General features: G+C 37.4%; 1 long non-coding RNA gene across 22 annotated transcripts in view; it reads right to left on the minus strand.

Moving 5' to 3' along the window:
- Positions 1-21825, minus strand: part of LOC107986400 (uncharacterized) — a 137038-nt gene that overhangs the window by 44688 nt on the left and 70525 nt on the right. For 12 of the 22 annotated variants that reach the window (XR_001742579.2, XR_007059117.1, XR_001742574.2 and 9 more), the window contains one exon: positions 570-978. The exons of 3 other annotated variants lie outside the window; for them this stretch is intronic. This is a non-coding gene — a long non-coding RNA (uncharacterized LOC107986400). Of the gene's footprint in view, positions 1-569; positions 979-1300; positions 1590-6420; positions 6758-7049; positions 7400-9967; positions 10062-21825 lie in introns of those variants that run through there. 7 more of the 22 variants (XR_007059116.1, XR_002956207.2, XR_001742565.2 and 4 more) reach the window with 4 other exon arrangements.

A 21825-nucleotide genomic window follows, 5' to 3' on the forward strand; every position in this document is an offset into this window, starting at 1 on the left:
CTCTTTCAGGTGCTTACTGGGAATTGAATGACCTTTGAAGAGTATTCAGACTGTCATCTTTCTAGGAACTCCACTCAGCTTCACTGGAACAACTGTTTCTATCTGGTTTACTTATTTTTTTTTTTTTTTTTTTTTTGAGACGGAGTCTCGCTCTGTCGCCCAGGCTGGAGTGCAGTGGCGGGATCTCGGCTCACTGCAAGCTCCGCCTCCCGGGTTCACGCCATTCTCCTGCCTCAGCCTCCCAAGTGGCTGGGACTACAGGCACCCGCCACTACGCCCGGCTAATTTTTTGTATTTTTAGTAGAGACGGGGTTTCACCGTTTTAGCCGGGATGGTCTCGATCTCCTGACCTCATGATCTGCCCGCCTCGGCCTCCCAAAGTGCTGGGATTACAGGCGTGAGCCACCGCGCCCGGCCTGGTTTACTTTTTATACTTCCATAAAATAATGTAGTGGAAGATGTAATTTATACTAAACATATCATCATCAACAACATGAATACTGAAAACATTGCTATAGGAAAGAGATTTTGTAATGTAAGTTAATCTAAGATTGAAAACACAGCCAGGATTATTAGCTAAATTTTATTTGGTATGAACTGCTTTATCACAGTAATATGTCTCTACATCTACCTAAATAAATTTATTTTAAAATTAGGTGCATGGAAATATAATCTCACACAATACATTGTAAGGTGAAGAGGTCTAAAATGACTGGGACACTCCAAATAAATCACTTAAGGATTGCCCAAAACATTAAGTTTCAATGTTATTACAACATCAGTAGTTTTTTGTCCTTGAACTCTTACGGAAGATGGTTTGCCCATAGGTTACTTTTCCCCTAATTGGAGTGTCCTTCTAGCCTGGAGTAATTTTGAAGTCTCTGGTTGTATTTTATGGTGAATGATATGTCTCTGAAAGAAAGAAGAACTTTCCACTTGGGCACAACACTCCATCACAGGTCAGCTGAGAAGCTCAGGCTGGAAGAGAAACCGTATTTCAAAACAGTGGCTCTTCAAAATTACCCCTAATATGGCTTTTCTAACCAGGTCAGTAACATGTGGGAAAAGGGAATTTTTCTTTGGATTTTTGGGCCAGTGGTGGCTGAATTACACAAACTGAACCATGAACAAACAAACAAGCATGGAAAGCCAACCCAGAGCATCCTCAGCCTGATGTAGCTCCAATGTTTCAGTCCATGCAGGGCGAACTCTGCAACCTCCTAGACTTTAATCTCTGCCTTATTTCCCGCAACCCAGTGAGTGTTATTGGGCAGTATGAATATGCAAGTGCAGGTGGCACCTTGGTCCAAGACTTGTCAACTTCAGCATGCGTCAGGGTAATGGCAATCACTCGCTGAATGTGCTGAACAAAAGCAAGACGTGCTTCTCATGTAGAACCCAGGCAAGTTGAACAGATGCCCTGACCAATCTCTTTCAAGCAGTGGCTTAGAGATCACGATTCCTTCCATTGTGCATCTCTGTCGTCTCAGACAGTATCTCTTCTAGCTTGTAAGCAGAGACAGAGAGTGAGCCGAGAGTCTCATGGGCTGTTAGAGGCCAGGCTCCAAAATAGCAGAAACCACCTCTACCTGCAACACAGTGACAGAAGCTGTCCCAGACACCCAATCTGGCTGAAAGTGAGTCAGGGAAGGAAAGCAGCCCCGGTGTCTAGGAGGCCAGTGAGCACTTAGGTGATCTCTGTCACATAAGCCAACAAACTGGATAACAGTGACATTTCAGTATCTGACACAAGTCAGAAGCTGTAAAATAGTGAGTAGACAACACATAGAGGCTTTAGAGGGCACATGATACATATTTACCATCAACAGATGGTCCAAAAATAAGCATCTCCATGGAAAATGTGCAGGCAGTATCATCTTAAAAATAGCATATTTAAGAAATGACTTTGGAATTTTAGGAGCTTACTCAGATGGATCTTTTCAGTTGTTTTCTCACTAGCCAAACTACCACATCTGTCCTTTCTGCTGATCTTATGGTTACATATTTTTCCACTTCCTTGTTCTCTAGTGAGAGGGGACTTGGCACATCAGCTGCCCCATATACATCATTCCTTTGGATCACCCACAGCTCCTAGCATTAGTGCAATTGATGTTCAATACTAGAGTACACTAAATTAATGTATTAGACTCCAGTAGATTATCAGTGAGTAAAACTGAATTATAATTGATTAGAAATAATTTTGCATAAGTACCTTCATCAGCTTCATAATTAAAATTTGTCACTCAACTTTAAATTTGGCCAACTAGGTCACAGGCAGTGGGGTCTGTGGAACTAAGTATGTACTGTAGATGTCCCAGAACTGAATGAAATTACCACAATTATAACTAATCAATTTTGTGACTATTTGTGTTATGATGCTCTCTTTGATTAAACAAATTCCCATTTGGGTAGTCTTCTCTTCGTAAGTTGATTAAGAGAACCAAATACCACTTCTGACTTGAAGATCCATAATAAAAAGGAGACATCAGCTGTCAATGCCAAAACACTCAGGAAGGTGGCTTGGCATTTCAGGGAAGAGAAGGAATTTGAAGAACCAGTCCAGGATCACAAATCGTTTTAGAATCCAACTAAATCTTCTCACATTGGTTTCATTTTTCCTCCGGCATCCTAAAAGTGACATAGCTTATGACTAATAGATATAGCATCTTACACAAATAATCACATGATTGTGCAAATGCACTTAGGTCAAGGTGTGGTTTGCCTCCTTCCATAGGTCCTCACTAAAGTATGAGCCGTAAACTAGCATATGATGACGTATGTCCTTGTCTTACCATACATTACTGAAATACATTTTATATTGAAAAATAAAAGCCCTGCAACCTTGAAGACACTGTAAAGCTAACTCTAAAATGTATTTTAATTTTCCCTAAATTAGAACCCTAGTCTAGTCTGTAACAGCCCCTTAGGATATATTAGACCCTTCACTCCCTGAGTATCTTGTAAGCTGAATTCGACTTTTTAAAATATGTACTTCTCCACCATTCAGAAAGGCAGCATTTTCTTTTCGCAATGCACCTACAGAAAAGTAGAAAAAAATATCATAGACAGCAAGATGGGTTAGAGATGAAGTTTCGTGTGAATCAGTTTTCTCCCCTTGTTTGAGTGTGCAGTCTTCACTTTGTGTTGATTTAAGGGAAGAAACTTGGTATTCAAGGCAAATACTTATCGGAATACAATTTATTCAGAATGGCTTTCAACCACAGGCTCAGAATATTTGCCCAGATAATCACTGAAGCTAAAACATGGGTAGCTAAACTGTTTTCGCTACTAACCTGATTAATAACTCAATTCTGGCATTTTAATCTAAATTTTCACTAAAATGATGTCAGGCGTGTTTTTGTTGTGTTTCTAGAATTTTATGTCTTACATATCTTATTTAAAACTTAGCACTTTAGGCTCTAAAACATAATCCATATGCATCTGACACTCCCAGCCAACCTCACAGCATTAGACAGTGACCTTCCAGCCACTTCCCATATTGAAGCTGTTTAAACACACTCACTATAAACACTTGGGTTTGTGTTAACCCTCTGAAGCCCAAACAGAAATCCACAAATGAAACAATGGCTTTGCTATTGTGTATAGTGCTGCAATGATCATCCACATGCATATGCCTTTTTTTCCCTTTTTCTTTTTTTTTTTTTTTTTTGAGATGGAGTCTCGCTCTGTCACCAGGCTGGAGTGCAGTGGTGCGATCTCAGCTCACTGCAAGCTCCGCCTCCTGGGTTCATGCCATTCTCCTGCCTCAGCCTCCCGAGTAGCTGGGACTACAGGTGCCCACCACGACATCCAGCTAATTTTTTGTATTTTTAGTAGAGACGGGTTTCACTGTGTTAGCCAGGATGGTGTCGATCTCCTGACCTCGTGATCCACTTGCCTCAGCCTCCCAAAGTGCTGGGATTACAGGCGTGAGCCACCGCACCCGCCCACCTATGCCTTTATAGTAGAACAATTTATATTCCTTTGGGGATATACCCATTAATGGGATTGCTGGATTGAATCATATGTCTGTCTTTAGGTCTTCAAGGAATTGCTGCATTGTCTTCCATAATGGTTAACCTAATTTACACAACCACTAACAGTCTGTAAGTGTTCTTTTTTCTCCACAATCTCACCAACATCTGTTATTATTTGACTTTTTAAAGATAGCCATTCTGACTGGTGTGAGATGCTATCTCATTGTGGTTTTGATTTGCATTTCTCCAATACATGGAATCGACAACAAATGCCCACCAGTGATAGACTAGATAAAGAGAATGAGGTACATGTACACCATGGAATACTATGCAGCCATAAAAAGAAGCAGATCGTGTACTTTGCAGGGACAAGGATAGAGCTGGAGGGCATTATCCTCAGAAAACTAATGCAGGGACAAAAAATCAAATACTGCCATGTTCTCACTTGTAAGTGGTAGTGAATCACGCCTGTAATCCCAGCACTTTGGGAGGCCAAGGCGGGCAGATCACGAAGTCAGGAGATCGAGACCATCTTGCCTAACACAGTGAAACCCCATCTCTACTAAAAATATGAAAAATTAGCCAGGTGTGGTGGTGGGCACCTGTAGTCCCAGCTACTCAGGAGGCTGAGGCAGGAGAATGGTGTGAACCCGGGAGGCAGAGCTTGCAGTGAGCCGAGATAGCACCACTGTACTCCAGCCTGGGCGACAGAGCGAGACTCTTGTCTCAAAAAAAAAAAAAAAAAAAAAGTGGTAGTTAAATGATAAGAACACATGGACACATAGAGAGGAACACCACACACTGGGGGTTATCAGGGGTTAGGGTGGGAGGAGAGAGAGCATCAGGAGAAATAACTAATGGATATGAGTTTTAATACCTGGGTGATGAAATAATCTGTATAATACAAACACAAGTCTACCTGTGAAACGAACCTAGACATCCTTAAATAAAAGTTAAAATAAATAAAAATAAAACTATGGCACCTGACTCCTCAGGTAAGTTAGGCTAGATTTGAGAAGAGTACAGCTCTTGGACCTGCCATAAGGATGGTTTCCCTTCTTGAGTCCCATGAATGCAGAGACATCAGGAAGCATCATCCCCAGCCTGAAGCTGTTTATGGGCATGTGACATTTATAACTTGTCCAAGGATAGGAATTTTCAGTCTCTGAAAAGAACAGAGATACTTCTTAAAGAAGATGGTATTTGCCTGGGTTTTGCAGAGAGTAGCATTTAGGCAGGCAGAGGTGGAGGTGGAATGGACAGGGAAAGCTGTGGGCCAGGTGTAGAGACAAGTGTATAATATGACCTGACCCAAATGTGGAATTAACCAAGGGGGATCGTGGCTGACATTTAGGGAAACTGAAGTTGAGGAATCACCACGGAGAGCCTGGAGTACCTGGATGAAGGTTTTACAACGATGAGGCAGTAAGATCCCATAACATGTTTTTGAACAAAAAAACATAATTATGGGCATGTTTTAGAAAATTCATTGCTCAAAAGTTGCCGGTCTACAGGAAGAAGGCAAGTAGAAATTTGAGAAACTTAGAAAAGACTGGTATTATTAATATACTATTATTTTTATTATTCACATCGATAAAGTCAGGGCTGCCAGCAGTTTGGGGAAAGATAACAACACGTGACAGTGAATCAACCCGCATAAAACATCCAGAAGGCCCCGGAAATCAGGAACTGGAGCTCAGAGGGGAGGTCAGGAGCGAGAGGTGGGCATCAGGCTAGAGCTGGTCCTCCACTACTGACTTAAGCCGTATCTATTCTTCCAAGTGCAAAGTGTCATTCTGTGATTTCACCCACTTGTCAGATAATTTATGTTTAAAAGATGGGGCAGAGAAAAGGAGGAACAAAGACGTAAGGAAACTAGCAGAGATGGATTGCTGCTGGGGCCTGTGAGTGAGTACACTGATGCCATGATCTCCACATACAGTGCCTGGAACGTATTGTTGCATGCCTAGGCTGAGGGAATCCTGTGCTCTGTGCACAGTGGTATGACTCAAACCATTTCAGGAAAAAGCCTGTATCTTTTTTTTCCAGGGAGGAAATGGTCATGATGGCATTGCCTTTTGTAAAAGAAAGAATGTCACTCTCTGATTCCTCCTCCCCTGAGATCCCACCGTCTATCTGTTCAAGAGTAACAACAGCTGTTCTGTTACTCTGGCTACACTCTTGCTACTGTAGCCCACCATGCTACATCCTGGATCACATTTTCTAACACATACGTAGTGTCTATGAGAAGAGGAACCATTCTTTTGCCTCAGAGAATGTTCTGGTTGTACAATTGACATCAGTGCACAATACATTGTTGTTTTTTTAGCAGGAGGGGCATTGACTGGTGTCTACTTCCATTAGCCCAACTCCTGAAGGCTAATATTGCAATAGGTAATTTGGAAAGAGGATATTTTGAAGTGAAAAGGATAGAGCCAAAAAAAAAAGGATTCATTTTTTATTATTTTTAAATACTAACAAGAGTGCTTTTCTCGCTAGCTATTGGGGAAAGATCAACTCATACATCAAAAGCTCAGAGATACAGATGCTTCAGAAATATCGTCCCCTCTGTGGAAATCCTGCCTTGTCAGCCGGTCAGGTCAGGTTTCAGTGTTGCAACAACCTCGCAGCTAATCTGACATTGATGTACAACTTGCCATTTACATGAAAATGCCAGCCCTTCTCGGGACCTGACTTGGCTTTATTTTTGTGAGTGGGCAGCCCATGCATACCTTGTAGATATGGAAGAAGTAGCATGGTGTGCATTTCATGGAAAATCGCTGTAAAATACAGAAGTTATTGGAGAGGGTTAAAAGGATAATATGTGACTTAATCATCAAAGGTGTATTAATAAAATTCATCATAAAGTGACCAGTCAATGTCAAATGAGGGCCTCTGAGTGAAGGAAATGCCACTCTCCAGTGTGAGCTGGCCATCCTTGGCTCCTCAAAATCGATCAGCAATGGAGGGATCTGTGCAGAGGTGGGGGCAGCTGCAATAGTTGAAAATGGATGAAGACTAGCAGCCTCTCTGACTCTTCATTCTTTTATATAATTATGTCTTCTTAAAGCCTGCAACCTCCTAGGTTGTGGTCTTGATTAAAGTGGAAGACAAGATAAAAAGGGAAGAGCAATAAGGGATAAAGGGAAAAGTAGAAACTGCACAGTTTCCACCATACAGTGTTAAGAACAGAACTTGATTCTCAGAAAACGTTTTATAGAACTTTACAAAACCTGGGGCTAAACCACCCAGCTTAAACCTGATTTGGGCCATGGGGTTATGCTCATGGACATCTGCATATTGTGTGCATTTTTATGACGCCTTAAGCTTTTGTGATATTAAGTTTCAGCTTTATTTTCCATAATTCTTGACCCTTCCTCCATTTACCCAGGAGCATTACCATGGCCTCCAGGAGAATTCAACTGTTAGGGGAGAAATGCAAACTTGTTAATTTAATACTGTTTCATTTTTCCTTTTTTTCCTAACATAGCGCTTGAGAATCCATAAGTAGAGGCTTCAGAAGAACAGGGTAAAGGAGCTCTGTCCTCAAAGTTTTGGCAAGTGAATAGGGGGCATGGCAGACCAGAAGCTGAACGGACTGTAGAAGGGGCCAAGGAGCCAGGCAAGGGGCAGGAGAGGGGGAAGTGGTGAGGCATGGCCTTTGCTGTGGTCTGCACCCCACCCGTGGTTTTTTTATTTATTTACTATTTTTTTTGAGACAAGGTCTCACTCTGCTCTTCAGGCTGGAATGCAGTGGCACCATCATGTCTCACTGCAGCCTTGACTTCCCGGGCTCAAGTGATCCTCCTGCCTCAGCCTCCTGAGTAGCTTGTACTACAGATGTGCACCACCACACCCAGCTAGTATTTATTTTTATTTTAAGTTCTGGGGTACATGTGCAGGATGTACAAGTTTGTTACATAGGTAAATGTGTACCATGGTGGTTTGCTGCACCTATCAACCCATCACCTAGGTATTAAGCCCAGCATGCATTAGTTATTTTTTCTGATGCTCTTCCTCCCACCGATACCCCCTGACAGGCCCCATTCAGTGTGTATTGTTCCCCTCCATGTGTCCATGTGTTTTCATCATTTAGCTCCCACTTATAAGTGAGAACATACGGTGTTTGATTTTCTGTCCCTGAATTAATTTGCTGAGGGTAATGGCTTCAAACTCCATCCATGTCCCTGCAAAGAACATGATCTCTTTTTTATGGATGCATAGTATTCCATGGTATATACGTATCACATGTTCTTTTCTCAGTCTCTCATTGATGGGCATTTGGGTTGATTCCATGTTTTTGCTATTGTGAATAGTGCTGCAATAAACATATGTGTGCATGTATTTTTACAATAGAATGATTTATCTTCCTTTGGGTGTATACCCAGTAATGAGATTGCTGGGTCAAATAGTATCTCTGCCTCTATATGTTTGAGGAATTGCCACACTGTCTTCTGCAAAGGTTGAACTAATTTATATTCCCACCAACAGTGTAAAAGTGTTTCTTTTTCTCTGCAACCTCACCAGCACCTGTTGTTTCTTGACTTTTTAATAATAGCCATTCTGACTGGTGTGAAATCGTATCTCATTGTGATTTTCATTTGCATTTTTCTAATGATCAGTTATGTTGAGCTTTTTTGCATATGTTTGTTGGCTGCATAAATGTCTTCTTTTGAGAAGTGTCTGTTTATGTCCTTTGCCCACTTTATAATGGGGTTGTTTGTTTTTTACTTGTAAATTTGTTAAAGATCCTTGTAGACTCTTGATATTAGGCCTTTGTCAGATGGATAGACGGCAAAATTTTTCTCCCATTGTATAGGTTGTCTAGGACACTATGGGTTGGAAAGGAATTCTGATTTCACATCAGAAATGTGAAAATAAGATGCAGAGGGGGAGTTTATGCCAAGCCCTAGTGGAAGAATCTAAACACATGACCCTGAGATCTTGGAGCAAAGTCATGGCATGCACAAAGAGATTGATAAGCCTCTAGAGAAGGAGCTCTGAGTGTTCCAAACTGAAACTCTTGACCATGGAACAGCTGGAGACCAAGAACCCAGAGCTGTCCCTTAGGAGCAGATTTCTATCACCCTACCCTACCCCACGCCAGGTCACAATACCATAAGGGCATCATAGCAGTCCATTGCAGGATGAAATAGAATATCCAGGATCAAGCCAAGCACGACCAGAGCCATGAGTAAGCTACCTGATCAGGTAGCCCAGAACCACCTGCTAAAGCGTTGGTTAAGCCAGGATATGGGCACACTCTGACAATGAATGGCAGCCACAATGCACTGACAATGTGAGATGTTTATAAAAGACAGTAGAGAAAGAGAATCTTCCAGTAGTGCACCTTGTCATCACTTTGTGTAGAAGCAGTGGACCAGCATGAGGTATATTCAGATTTTTGGACAGTCGCTGTATTAGTCCATTCTCATGCTGCTATGAAGAAATACCCAAGACTGGGTAATTTATAAAGGAAAGAGGCTTAATTGGTTTACAGCTCCACATTTCTTTGGAGGCCTCAAAAAACTTACAATCATGGTGGAAGGCAAAAGAGAAGCAGGCACCTTCTTCACGGTGTGGCAGTACAGAGTGAGTGCAAGCAGGGGAAATGCCAGATGCTTATAGAACCATCAGATCTCGAGAGACTGATTCATTATCACAATAACAGTGCCGCAGAAATCGCCCCCATGATTCAATTACCTCCAACTGGTCCAACCTTTGACACGTGGGGATTATGGGAATTACAGTTCAAGGTGAGATCTAGGTGGGGACACAGTGCCAAACCATATCAGTGGCTAATAGCCACTGTTAGGGACCAGGTACAGCTGGTCAAAAACCTGAGGAAAAAAAGGACTGGAATATGGCAAGCCAGAGCTCTGGTTAAAGCACATGGGTGTACATACAGAAGAGAGTATGATGTTCACACTGCTATGAAGAAATACCTAAGGCTGAGCAATTTATAAAGGAAAAAGGTTTAATTGACTTACAGTTCTGCATAGCTGGGGAGGCCTCAGGAAACTTAGAATCATGGTGGAAGGGGAAGCAAACACACCCTTCTTCAAATGGTGGCAGGAGAGAGAACTGTAGAGCCAAGCAGGGAAAATCTTCTTATAAAACCATCAGATCTCATGAGAACTCACTAACTATCACAAGAACAGCATGGGCAAACTGCTCCCATGATGTTATCACCTCCCATGAGGTCCCTCTCCCAACACATGGGGATTACAATTTGAGATGAGATTTGAGTGGGGACACAGAGCCAGACCATATCAGATACATGAAGACATTTGTATCGTGTGCTAATGCCTATGGGAAGACAAACACTGACCAACTAAATAGGCAAAATAACCCAGCTGTTTGACACTAATCAGCCATCATCGCTGTCCAGCACAGAATTTGCACAATAGCACATGAACAGACTGCATGCTTACAGAGATGAAGGGTAACAATTAACCCTGCTGGGATGGCACTTACCAAAGCTGATCTAGCTGCTGACTGTCAAATAGGCAAGGCACAAAGATGAGTGCTGAGCCTCAGTGTGTTACTGTTACTTGAGGAGACCAACCAGCCACTATGTGTTGTGGCAAACAGACTACAGTGGACCTTTTAAATTCTGGAACGGTCAGAGGTTTTTCCTTAAAGAAATAATTGCCTAATCTGAGGATGGGTTTGTCTTTTCACCCAGCACAGCCTCATTTAACACCACTATCCAAGAGGTTAGAGCTTGGCTAATCTACATGCATGGAACCCCACACAGCATAGAACCTGACCAGGAAACCCACATCATAGAAATGGAGGTATGGAAGAGGGTCTTGGACCACAGAATACAATAATTGTTTTACACACTGCACCATCCAGGAGCAGCCAGCCTCATGGAATTCTAGAATTGTTTCATTTTTTGTCTATCTCTTGCTATAGGCTCTTATTGTGTACAAAGTAACCTCTGCTGCTCTGTACACAGACGTCATTTACTGCCCTAGGATGTGATAGCTACCTGCTTTACTTCTGAGGATGTGCACCTGAGATTCATTTAGGTGGAATATCCTTGGCTTACTGGAGCAAATTTATCTTCAAGTGGAGGAGCCAAAAGTTCTGTCAGTTAGTGTTAACTTTACTTTGGTACAGAAGTACAAAGCACAGGTGCTTGGGCCCCAAAACAGACAAACTCAGAGGCATTAATTACACTCTACAAAGGGTTAAGCCTAATGAGAACACCAAGCAGAAAAAAGAGAGAAGGAAAAAAAGCAGTGTGTGAGGTAATAAAGGCTGGAAATTATGGAAAATTAATGAAAGACATGAAATCACAGATCCCAGAACCTCAGAGAACTCAAAACAAGATAAATTTTTAAAAACTATAAATAGACATATCAAAATCACTCTAGAAAAAATCAAAGACGAAGAGAAAAACACTAAAGAAATGAGAGGGAAAAAAACACCTTACTATAGTGGAACAAGAATAGAATTACATAGGTCTTCATATCAGAGATAATGCAAACAAAAAGAGAGGGGGATAAAATGTTTAAAGTGGTAAACAAAATAATCCAATAGTGTTTAATCTTGCATTCAGTGAAATTATCCTAAAGAACTGAAGGAAAAATAAAGAGAGAAGCAAAACTAAAGGAGTTCGGACTCAATTTTCCTGTCTTGCAAGAAATGTTAAAAGACATTCCTCGGGGAGATGGAAAATTACTTAGGTCAGTAATTTATATCTACATTTAAGAAGAAAATGCATCAGGAAAGAAATAAATAGAGGCAAAATCATGCTTTTCTTACTTATTCTTAATTTGTCTAACAAATAACTATTCAAAATAATATTATCAACAATGTATTGGATGATTATTGCCCATAGGTAAGTGTAATGAATGACAAAAATGTGATAAGAGATGCACAGGAGAAATGTTGAGTACTTGTAAGTTACCTGCACTATCTTAGAAATAGTAAAGCATATTGGGTATATACCCAAAGGAGTATAAATCATGCTGCTATAAAGACACATGCACACATATGTTTATTGCAGCACTATTCACAATAGCAAAGACTTGGAACCAACCCAAATGTCCATCAATGATAGAATGGATTAAGAAAATGTGGTACATATACACCATGGAATACTATGCAGCCATAAAAAATGATGAGTTCATATCCTTTGTAGGGACATGGATGAAGCTGGAAACCATCATTCTCAGCAAACTATTGCAAGGACAAAAAACCAAACACCGCATGTTCTCACTCATAGGTGGGAATTGAACAATGAGAACACCTGGACAGAGGAAGGGGAATATCACATACCGGGGCCTGTTGTGAGGTAGGGGGATGGGGGAGGGATAGCATCAGGAGATATACCTAATGTAAATGATGAGTTAATGTGTGCAGCACACCAACACGGCACATGTATACATATGTAACTAACCTGCACGTTGTGCACATGTACCCTAAAACTTAAAGTATAATTAAAAAAAAAAAGGGGACCAAAAAAAAAAAACATAAGAGAGACAAGGTGAAAGAAGAGAAAACAGTGGTGAGTAACGACATTTAATATATGTAAGTTTAATAAATGAGGATATGATGAATTTCATAAAAAAGATAGTAAAGCATTATTTGATAGTATACTTAGGTTAATGGAAAGATGTATTGCAAAGTTTAGGGCAGACAGTACAACTTTTGGAGAAAAAACATTACACATCTAAATAATATATGGGTCAAAGTAAAAATCTCAAGTTATATTTTAAAAGATAACAAAATTAATAAATAGAACTACCATATGATCCAGCAATCCCACCACTGGTTATATATCCAAAGGAAATAACATCAGTGTGCCAAAGAGACATCTGCACTCCCATGTTCATTGCAGCATTATTCACAATAACCAAGACATGGAATCAAACTAAATGTCTATTGAGGAATGAAAGGACAAAACAAATGTGTTATGCTTGTATGTGTGTGTGTGTGAACATATTTGATGCATACATGTATACACACACATACATATATATACACACACATAGCGTATACATAGAATACTAATCACCCTTGAGAAAGAAGGAATTACTACTATTTCTGGTAGATGAACCTGGAGAACATCATGTTAAGTGAAATAAGATAGACACAGAAAGACAAATACTTCATGATATCACTTATATGTAAAATCTGAAAACTGTTGAACACATAGAAGCAGAGAATAGAATGGTGTTTACCAGAAGTTGGCAGTGGGGGAGGAGAGGTGTTTGTCAAAGGGTACATGTTTCAACTAGACAGCATAAATAAGCTCTGGAGATCTATTGTACCACATGATGATTATAGTTAATAATAATGTAGTGTATATTTGAAAATTACTAAGAGGAGTATAGATCCAAAATGTTCTCACCCCAAAGAAATGATAAATATGTAATGGGATGGATATGCTAAACAGCATTATTTAATCATTTTACATAGGACATACATGAAAACATCATATTGTGTACCATAAATTATATGTCAGTTATGTTTTAATAAAACTTAGAGAAATATTTGAACCAAATGAAAATGAAAAAGAAACATCAAAATTTGTGAGATGCATTGAATGCAGTGTTTAGTGGGCAATTTATGACATTAAATGTATATATTGGGGAAAACATATACAATTAATAAGTAAGCCAAAGAAATAAGAGCAATTAAGGCTAAATCAAGCAGGAGAAAGAAATTATAAAAATAAAGCATAAATAAATAAAATTATAAACAGGAAAACAATAGAGTAAATCAATGATATCAGGAGCTTGTTGTTTAAGATGATTACTAAAATTATAGAAATTCCAGACTGGCTTACCAAGAATTCAAAAATGACACAGTTCATTAATATTAAAATTAAAGAAGGATCATCACTACTAATCCAGTGCACAATAAAATAATAACAAAGGGATATTAGGAACAATTCTATGCCTACAAATTTGATAATTCCTTGAAAAACACAAACTATCAAAACTCAGTTAAGAAAAATAGATAATATGGCTGGGTCTGTGTCTACTGAAGAAATTTATCAATAATTAATAGGAGTCTATAAAACAAATTACCATGCCCTGAATGTTTCACTTGTAAAATCTTCTAAAATTGAAAGAAAAACTTATCCTGATTCTTCAAAATTTCTTCAAAAATGGAAACTAAGGAAGCATTTCATAGTTCATTACATCAGGTCACCATTACCATAATGGCAAAATAATAAAGGACAGTACAAAAGGAAATACTATAGACCAATGTCTCTCATGAACATAGATACAAAAATCCTCAAATAAAAATTTAGCAAATCAATTTATAAAAGTAATTATACACAACAATATAAAAGAATGTATTGCAAGTATGCAAGGCTGGTTCAACACTTGAAAATAAATTTATGTAATCTATAACATCAATGGGCTAAGAAAGAAAAATATTATGATATCAATTAATACAGAATAAAGCATTTGACAAAATCTAACACCCATTTATGACAAAAAAAACTCTCCAGGAAACAGGAATTAAAGGGAAATTTCCTCAACTTGATAAATAACATCAAAAACAAAGGAAAATAAAACAACAACAAAAATCAAACTAGAGCTAACATCATAATAATGAGAAACCAGGTGCTTTTCCCCTAAGATCAGGAACAAGACAATAATGTCCTCACTCCCCATTTCTTTTTTACATTGTACTGGAAATCCTAGAAAATCCAGTGAAGAATAGAAAATAAAAGACATACAGTTTGGAAAGGAAGAAATAAAACCGTTTTTGTTTCATATCCATGTAGAAAATACCAAAAAAAAAAAACAAAAACAAAACTCTTGAAATTAATAATCAGTTCCCATAAATGTTGCAGGATACAAGGTTAATATACAAAACTCAATTGCTTTCTTACATACCAATAATAAACAACTGGAAGTTGAAATTAAAATCTTAATACTATTTACATAGGCACACCAAAAATGTAATACTTACATATATATCTAACAAAATAGGTACAGAATCTATATTCAGAAAAGTACAAAACTGATTAAAGACATCAAAAAAAACTCAAAAATCTATATAAATGGAGAAATAGTCTATGTTCATACATAGGAAGGCATAATATTTTTTGTCAAATATTTTTGTTGTCAATTCTTTCCAATTTGAAATATCCATTCAACATAATCCCAAATAAAACCCCTGCAAATTATTTCATGGTATTTCATGTTAAACTAATTCTAAAGTTCATATGGAAAGGCAAAAGACTCAGACTAGCCAAAACAATAATGAAGAAGAACAAAGTTGGAGGACGAATATTACACAAGTTTAAGACTTATCAGATTGTAATTGAGAAAGCTTGAAATTGGGGAAAAAGGAGCCACATAAATACGTGGATCTGATAAATGGAGAATCCAGAAATAGACTCACACCAGTATCTGATCTTTTACAAAGAAACAAATGTAATTCATTTGAAAAAAGTAGTTTTTCCAACAAATGCTGGTAGAAAAGTTGGACATTCATATGCAAAATAAATAAATAAATAAAAGGCAAGAGAAGAGTCTAGGCACAGAGTTTATACCTTTCACAAAATTTAATACATAACAGAACATAGACCTAGATGTAAAATGAAGAGTTATACAACTCCTGGAAGAAAACAGAAGAAAATCTAGGGAGGCTTGGGTTTGATGAGAGTTTAGACACAATGTCAAAATAATGATCTATGAAAGGCAAAATGGATAAGTTGGAGTTCGTGAAAATTAAAGACTCTGGCTCTGTAAAAGACACTGCTAAGAGACTAAAAAGATAAAATATAGACTGAGAGAAAACATCTGCAAAATTTATATCTGATAATGGATTGTGTCCAAAGATACAAATAACTCTTAAACTCAACAATATGAAGGCAAACCACTCAATTAAAAATGTGTAAGATATCTGAAAAGACAAGTTAGTAGAGAATATGTACATATGGCAAACAAGCCTATAAAAACACAGTCAACATCATGTTATTAACTAAGGAAAAATTAAAACAATTATGAGATACTATTGCATACCTGTTCAAATGGTTAAAATCCAAACAAAACCAACCGACACTGCCAATACCTAATGCTGATGAAGATGCAGTGATAGGAACTTTCATTTAGTGTTTATCGTAATGCCAAACAGTATAGCCAATTTGAAAGATAATTTTGCAGAATTGTACGAAGCTAAATGTGATTCAGAAAATATGCTTCTAAATATTTACCCAATGGAGTTAAAACTTTATACATACCCAAGATTTGCACAGTAATTTTTGTGGCAGATTTATTTATAATTTCCCAACAGTCAAACAAGATAGACTTCAACAGGTGAATGGATAAACAAGCTGAGGTACATAGATAAAATGTTACATTATTCAGCAATACAAAGAAATGAGTTAGCAAGCCACAAAAAGACATGTAGAAACTGTAAGTGCATATCGATTACTGAAAGAAGCCAGCCTAAAATGATTTACATACCGTATGATTCCAACCAGATGAAATTCTGGAGAAGGAAAAACTAGAAAAAGTAAAAAAGATCAATGGTTGCCACAGGTTTGGAGTTGCAGGTGGAAATGTGAAGCACAGAGGATCTCTAGGTCAGTAAAACTACTGTGTATGGTACTACAGTGATACCAAAACTAAAAGAACTATATAATGCAAAGAGTGGATATTAATGTATAAAGTAGTTGTAATAACAAATCAATAACTGATCCACTAATGGTAACAAATGCACAACAGGGTGAGATGTTAATAATAGGGGAAATAATAATTAGGGGAAATGATAATTAGGGGAATAAAAATTGGAAATAATAATTAGGGGAAATAATAATTAGGGAAGATGGTATATCTGGGAACTCAGTGTACCATCTGCTGAATTTTTCTGTAAAACTGTTCTGAAAAATAAAGTTTATTATTAAAATAAAAATGACACTCTGGGGAAAGCCTAGAACTGTAATTATTAATGAATTTCCTCTATTTCTCACAATGGTAGAGACACATCAAATAGGTAAGTTTTTACTTTTCGTAATGGTTGCTCCTTATGGTCAAGTTAAGAATAAAGAGAAGCTCAGTATCCATCTATCTTACATTTGGAAAGTGAGTGCTGAAAAAAAGAGATTTTAACAATATTTTAAACTGTCTATATATTGAGTAAATACAAAACTTCTTTTTTGATGTTACCTAGAATAGGCAAGACTCTAAACCAATAAAAGGAAATAAAAATAAGAAAAAAAAAAGAACACAAGAAACCAAGACTCCATGAGTGAGAACCTGTAGGAACGCAGACAACAAAAACATACCCATAGGTACTCCAAATACTATACTTAGCAGGTCCATGTTATAAACTAGATGTGCTTACTATATTAAATGAAGTCCAAGATAAGTTTGAATATTTTGATGGAGAATTGGGCACTGTAGAATATCATAATAGATTTTTAGAAGAATGAAAGATAAATCCTTTAAAAAGATATAATAATCAAAATTAATATCCCCATAAATTTATTTAACAGCAGTTCAGATATAGCTAAAACAAGAACCAATGAACTGGAAAATAGATCACAGACATTATATAAAGATACTTATGAAGCAATAAAGAGAAAATACAGACGAGAAAGAGAGATAGCTGATTTGATGAGAGGTTGAACTTAGGTTTCTTGGTGTTCAAGAGGAACAAAAGTAAGAGCACAGAATAGAAATAATATATTGTTAAATGCTAAGTTTTTTCATAAAACTAAAAAAATCCATAAATCTATTGATTTAAAAAAAATGTATTGCAAATAAATTAATGGAAATCCGCATCTAGACACAACACAGGCACACAATAGAAAATCAATAAAGCCTGTAATCCCAGCACTTTGGGAGGCCAAGGCGGGCGGATCACAATGTCAGGAGATCGAGACCATCCTGACTAACACGGTGAAACCCGATTTCTACTAAAAATACAAAAAAATTAGCTGGGCGTGGTGGCGGACGCCTGTAGTCCCAGCTACTCGGGAGGCTGAGGCAGGAGAAAGGCGTGAACCTGGGAGGCAGAGCTTGCAATGAGCTGAGATCATGCCACTGCACTCCAGCCTGGGCGACAGAGCGAGACTCCGTCTCAAAGAAAGAAAAAAAAAAAGAAAAAGTAAAACCTAAAAGCAGTCAATTATAAAAATTTTTAAGGTGCAATATTTAGACTGGTAGGCTACATCTCACTGGCAACACTGAAAGCCAGAAATCTGTGGAACAATATCTTAGGATGCTAAAAATAATGTAATGTGCAATGTAGAATTTTATACCCATTAAATATTTTTAATAGTGAGGGTAAAACAGAGACATTTCAGAAAAATAAAAACTAAGAAAATCCATCACTGTGAGATCTACACTAAAAGAAAGCTTGGCAGTTGGAAAAGAGAAAGCAAACTTGACATTATTCATTGAAGATTACATGATTGCATATAGAGAAAAGCAGAAAAATCTACAGGTTAACAACTAGAATTATTAACAGAATTTAATAAGCATGCTGGTTCTAAATCCTTCTTTGAAAAGTAATTATATCTCCACAGCCAGCAATTTAAAAATAAAATAAAAAGAAACAATTCACTATAGTATAAGAAATATGAAGTACATAGGAGTAATCTAACAAAATAAAGGCAAGTCTTCTTTACAGAGAACTATATGGCATTACTGAGAGAAAATAGACCAAAACATGTGGAAGGATATGCCATATTTATGAATGGAAAGACTCTATACTATATAGATGTTAATTTCTTCTTATTGATTTATATTCAACTACAGTACTTGATAAGTTGATCCTCAAAGTTATGGGAAACAATACACAACACATGCTTAAAAAACAAGGTGGGAAGACTTCCTCCCTCCAGCATTAAGACTTACTAAAACCATATGATAATTAAAGTGGTTTATTGGTACAAATATCAAATATTATAGTAGACTAACAGCTATTACAATTGATGCTGTAATAAAAAATACTGCACATGCTGTCCGGGTGTGGTGGTTCACGTCTGTAATCCCAGCACTTTGGGAGGCCAGGTGGGCGGATCACCTGAGGTCAGGAGTTCGAGACGAGCCTGCCCAAAATGCTGAAACCCTGTCCCTAATAAAAATACAAAAATTAACCGGCTGTGGTGGTGGGCACCTATAATCCCAACTGCCGGAGAGGCTGAGGCAGGAGAATTGCTTGAACCCAGGAGGCGGAGGTTGCAGTGAGCTGAGATTGCGCCACTGCACTCCAGCCTGGGCAACAGAGTGAGACTCAGTCTCAAAAATAAATAAATAAAATAAAAATTGCACACGTCTTTGGAGTACACATGTGTTTTTTTCTCTTGGATAAACATGTAGGAGTTAAATTGCTGCTGGACCACTGGGCCATAGAACATACATATCTAAAGTTTAGTGAATATTGTCAAACCATTTTCCAAAGTAATTGTACCAAATCACACTTCCATTTATATATGAAATTTTTATCTTTCCCTAATGTACAGATTAAAAGACAACTGTTACTGCATTTCCCTGATTATGAGAGAGACTGACCATCTTTCATATCCTCATTGGTCCTTTCAGGTTTCTTTCCTTGCAAACTGTCAGCCCAGAGCCACTGCTCATATTTCCTTCCACATGTTTTGGTCTATTTTCTCTCAGTAATGCCATACAGTTCTCTGTAAAGAAGACTTGCCTTTATTTTGTTAGATTACTCCTATGTACTTCATATTTCTTACACTATTGTAAATTGTTTCTTTTAATCATGGCATTATAGGAATGCTACATATTATGGATGTTGATTTCTTTGTCTGTCATGTACATGGAAACGGTCTTTCCCTATTCTGCAGCTAATCTGTGGACTGTCAATTTACTCAGTTTAGGGTGCTCTTGTCCTACAGAAAGTTATATTTTGACAATGCAGTAAAAGTTATAGGGTTTTTTCCCCACTTCTTTTTCTTTATGCCTTGGTCAATAAATCCTATCAAACCTGGAGATCATAATATGTCTCCCTACACCACGTAAAGTTTTGTTTGGCTGTTTGTCTTTAATACATCTGTAATTCAATTAATTTTAATTTTTCAGATGGATAGACAGTTACCTTGTTGATTTGCAGAGCCACAACTCTCATATGTTAGTTTCATAAAGGAATATACAAATTCTGCTAGTGTTTCTGTTTTCATACTTTCTGTTATGTTCCTTCAGTTAATTTGTCCGTCTCAATTTCTACATGACATTAAATACTACAGTTTTATACTCATTCTTGCTATTTGGTAAAGTAAGATTCTCCCTTTATTACTCTTTAATTATTTTGGCTACTGTTGGACTTTTATAAATTTTAAAATAAATGTATCCAGTTCTGTAGGGGAAAAATGAGAAATTTGATGTAAATTTCATTGTTTGTATTAAATCAATTGGGGAAAACGATGTGCTTATCTCATTCATGAATATGGGATGTCTTCCTATTTGTCTTCTTTTATGTCTTTCAATAAGGCTTTATGGTCTCTAAAATAAAAATCTTATATTTTAGTTATGTTTATACATATATATATATTCAGTCATCGCTATTTTGGAAGAGATTTTTTAAATTAATTCTATTTTATAATCAATTGCTGCTTATGTTTAAGAGCACAATTATTTTTTTCTATACTGATATCATATTTAACAATTTGTTGAACTCTCCAATTAATTCTAATAGTTGTCTTCAAATTTTCCTGCATTTTCCATGAAGAATATTATATCATTTGAGAACATGGACAGTTTTATATATCACCTTTTAATAATTTTACCTCATATTTTACATTAGAGAAACTCAATATAATTCACTTTATTAACAGTTTAAAGAGACAAAAATTCCTCGGTAAACCAAAAACCACCATCAATTCAAAAGGCTCTCTAGATTTCACCTCTCAGCAGTAGCTGTTGACATTTAGCAGCTCAAGACTACAAGAACTCCGACACAGTAGTCATGTCTGTAAACAAATCAACCATTGAGATCAATGTGTAGACAAAGAATTCAAGTACTAACATGCCATCTTGCCCAAAGGCACAGCTAACTGGTATTGGAAATACACCAGTGTTTGAATATGAATGGAGGAACTTGCTATCCCATTGTATCAAAAATAAATGATTGATGGACAAGAGTCAGCAGCCACAGCCCAAATGTCCTGACATAACACTAACATTCCACTGTCAGCCTCACACTTGTACAAGGCTGTCTACCTGGCCAATTTTATGTTAGTATCACTACTTATTATTGTCCATTGTAAATATTTTTAAACTATGCGATGTATTATTTGAGAATGCTGGTGATAACTTTGATCCTTGTGCAAAGCTTTTATCATGACTGGAAACCATATTCAACTACTTAGAGCTTAACTTCAAAACACAGGTTTGGTTCTGTGCTGGGCTGAGGAAGCAGCACAGCGATGACACTGAAGACACACCTGAGATTTCTCTGGACATTTGGTGAATGCTGCCATGTTATTTTACTTTTTTATTAGGTATTTTGAGGAGATTGGCTTATAAGTTTATGTTTTGTGTGTTTGAAGACTTCTTTGTTTTATTAGAAATATCCAATTTGTTATTATTTTCATATTTAAAACAAAAGTCTCCTTCCACAAGGGAATAGAAAGAAATATCCTCAGCTACAGGAAAAATGTTGAAACAGAGATTCTTAATTTTTCTCTCATACCAATATTCTCCTTTTTCTTCACAGTAGACATGCCAGTTTGTAGCTAGGCACATAGTCATACAGAATGAAGATTATATCTCCTAACCTTCCTTGTAGATTGTTCTGATGGCAAAACTTTCTTCACCTTTCAGACTCACTTTTGGCTAGAATGTATAGTTAATGGCTGGAGCTCAAGCAACCATGTTTAAGTATGAAGTTTCTGCTA

The sequence above is a fragment of the Homo sapiens genome, chromosome 5, assembly GCF_000001405.40.
Source record: "Homo sapiens chromosome 5, GRCh38.p14 Primary Assembly".
In the NCBI taxonomy this organism is placed as follows: Eukaryota; Metazoa; Chordata; class Mammalia; order Primates; family Hominidae; genus Homo; species Homo sapiens.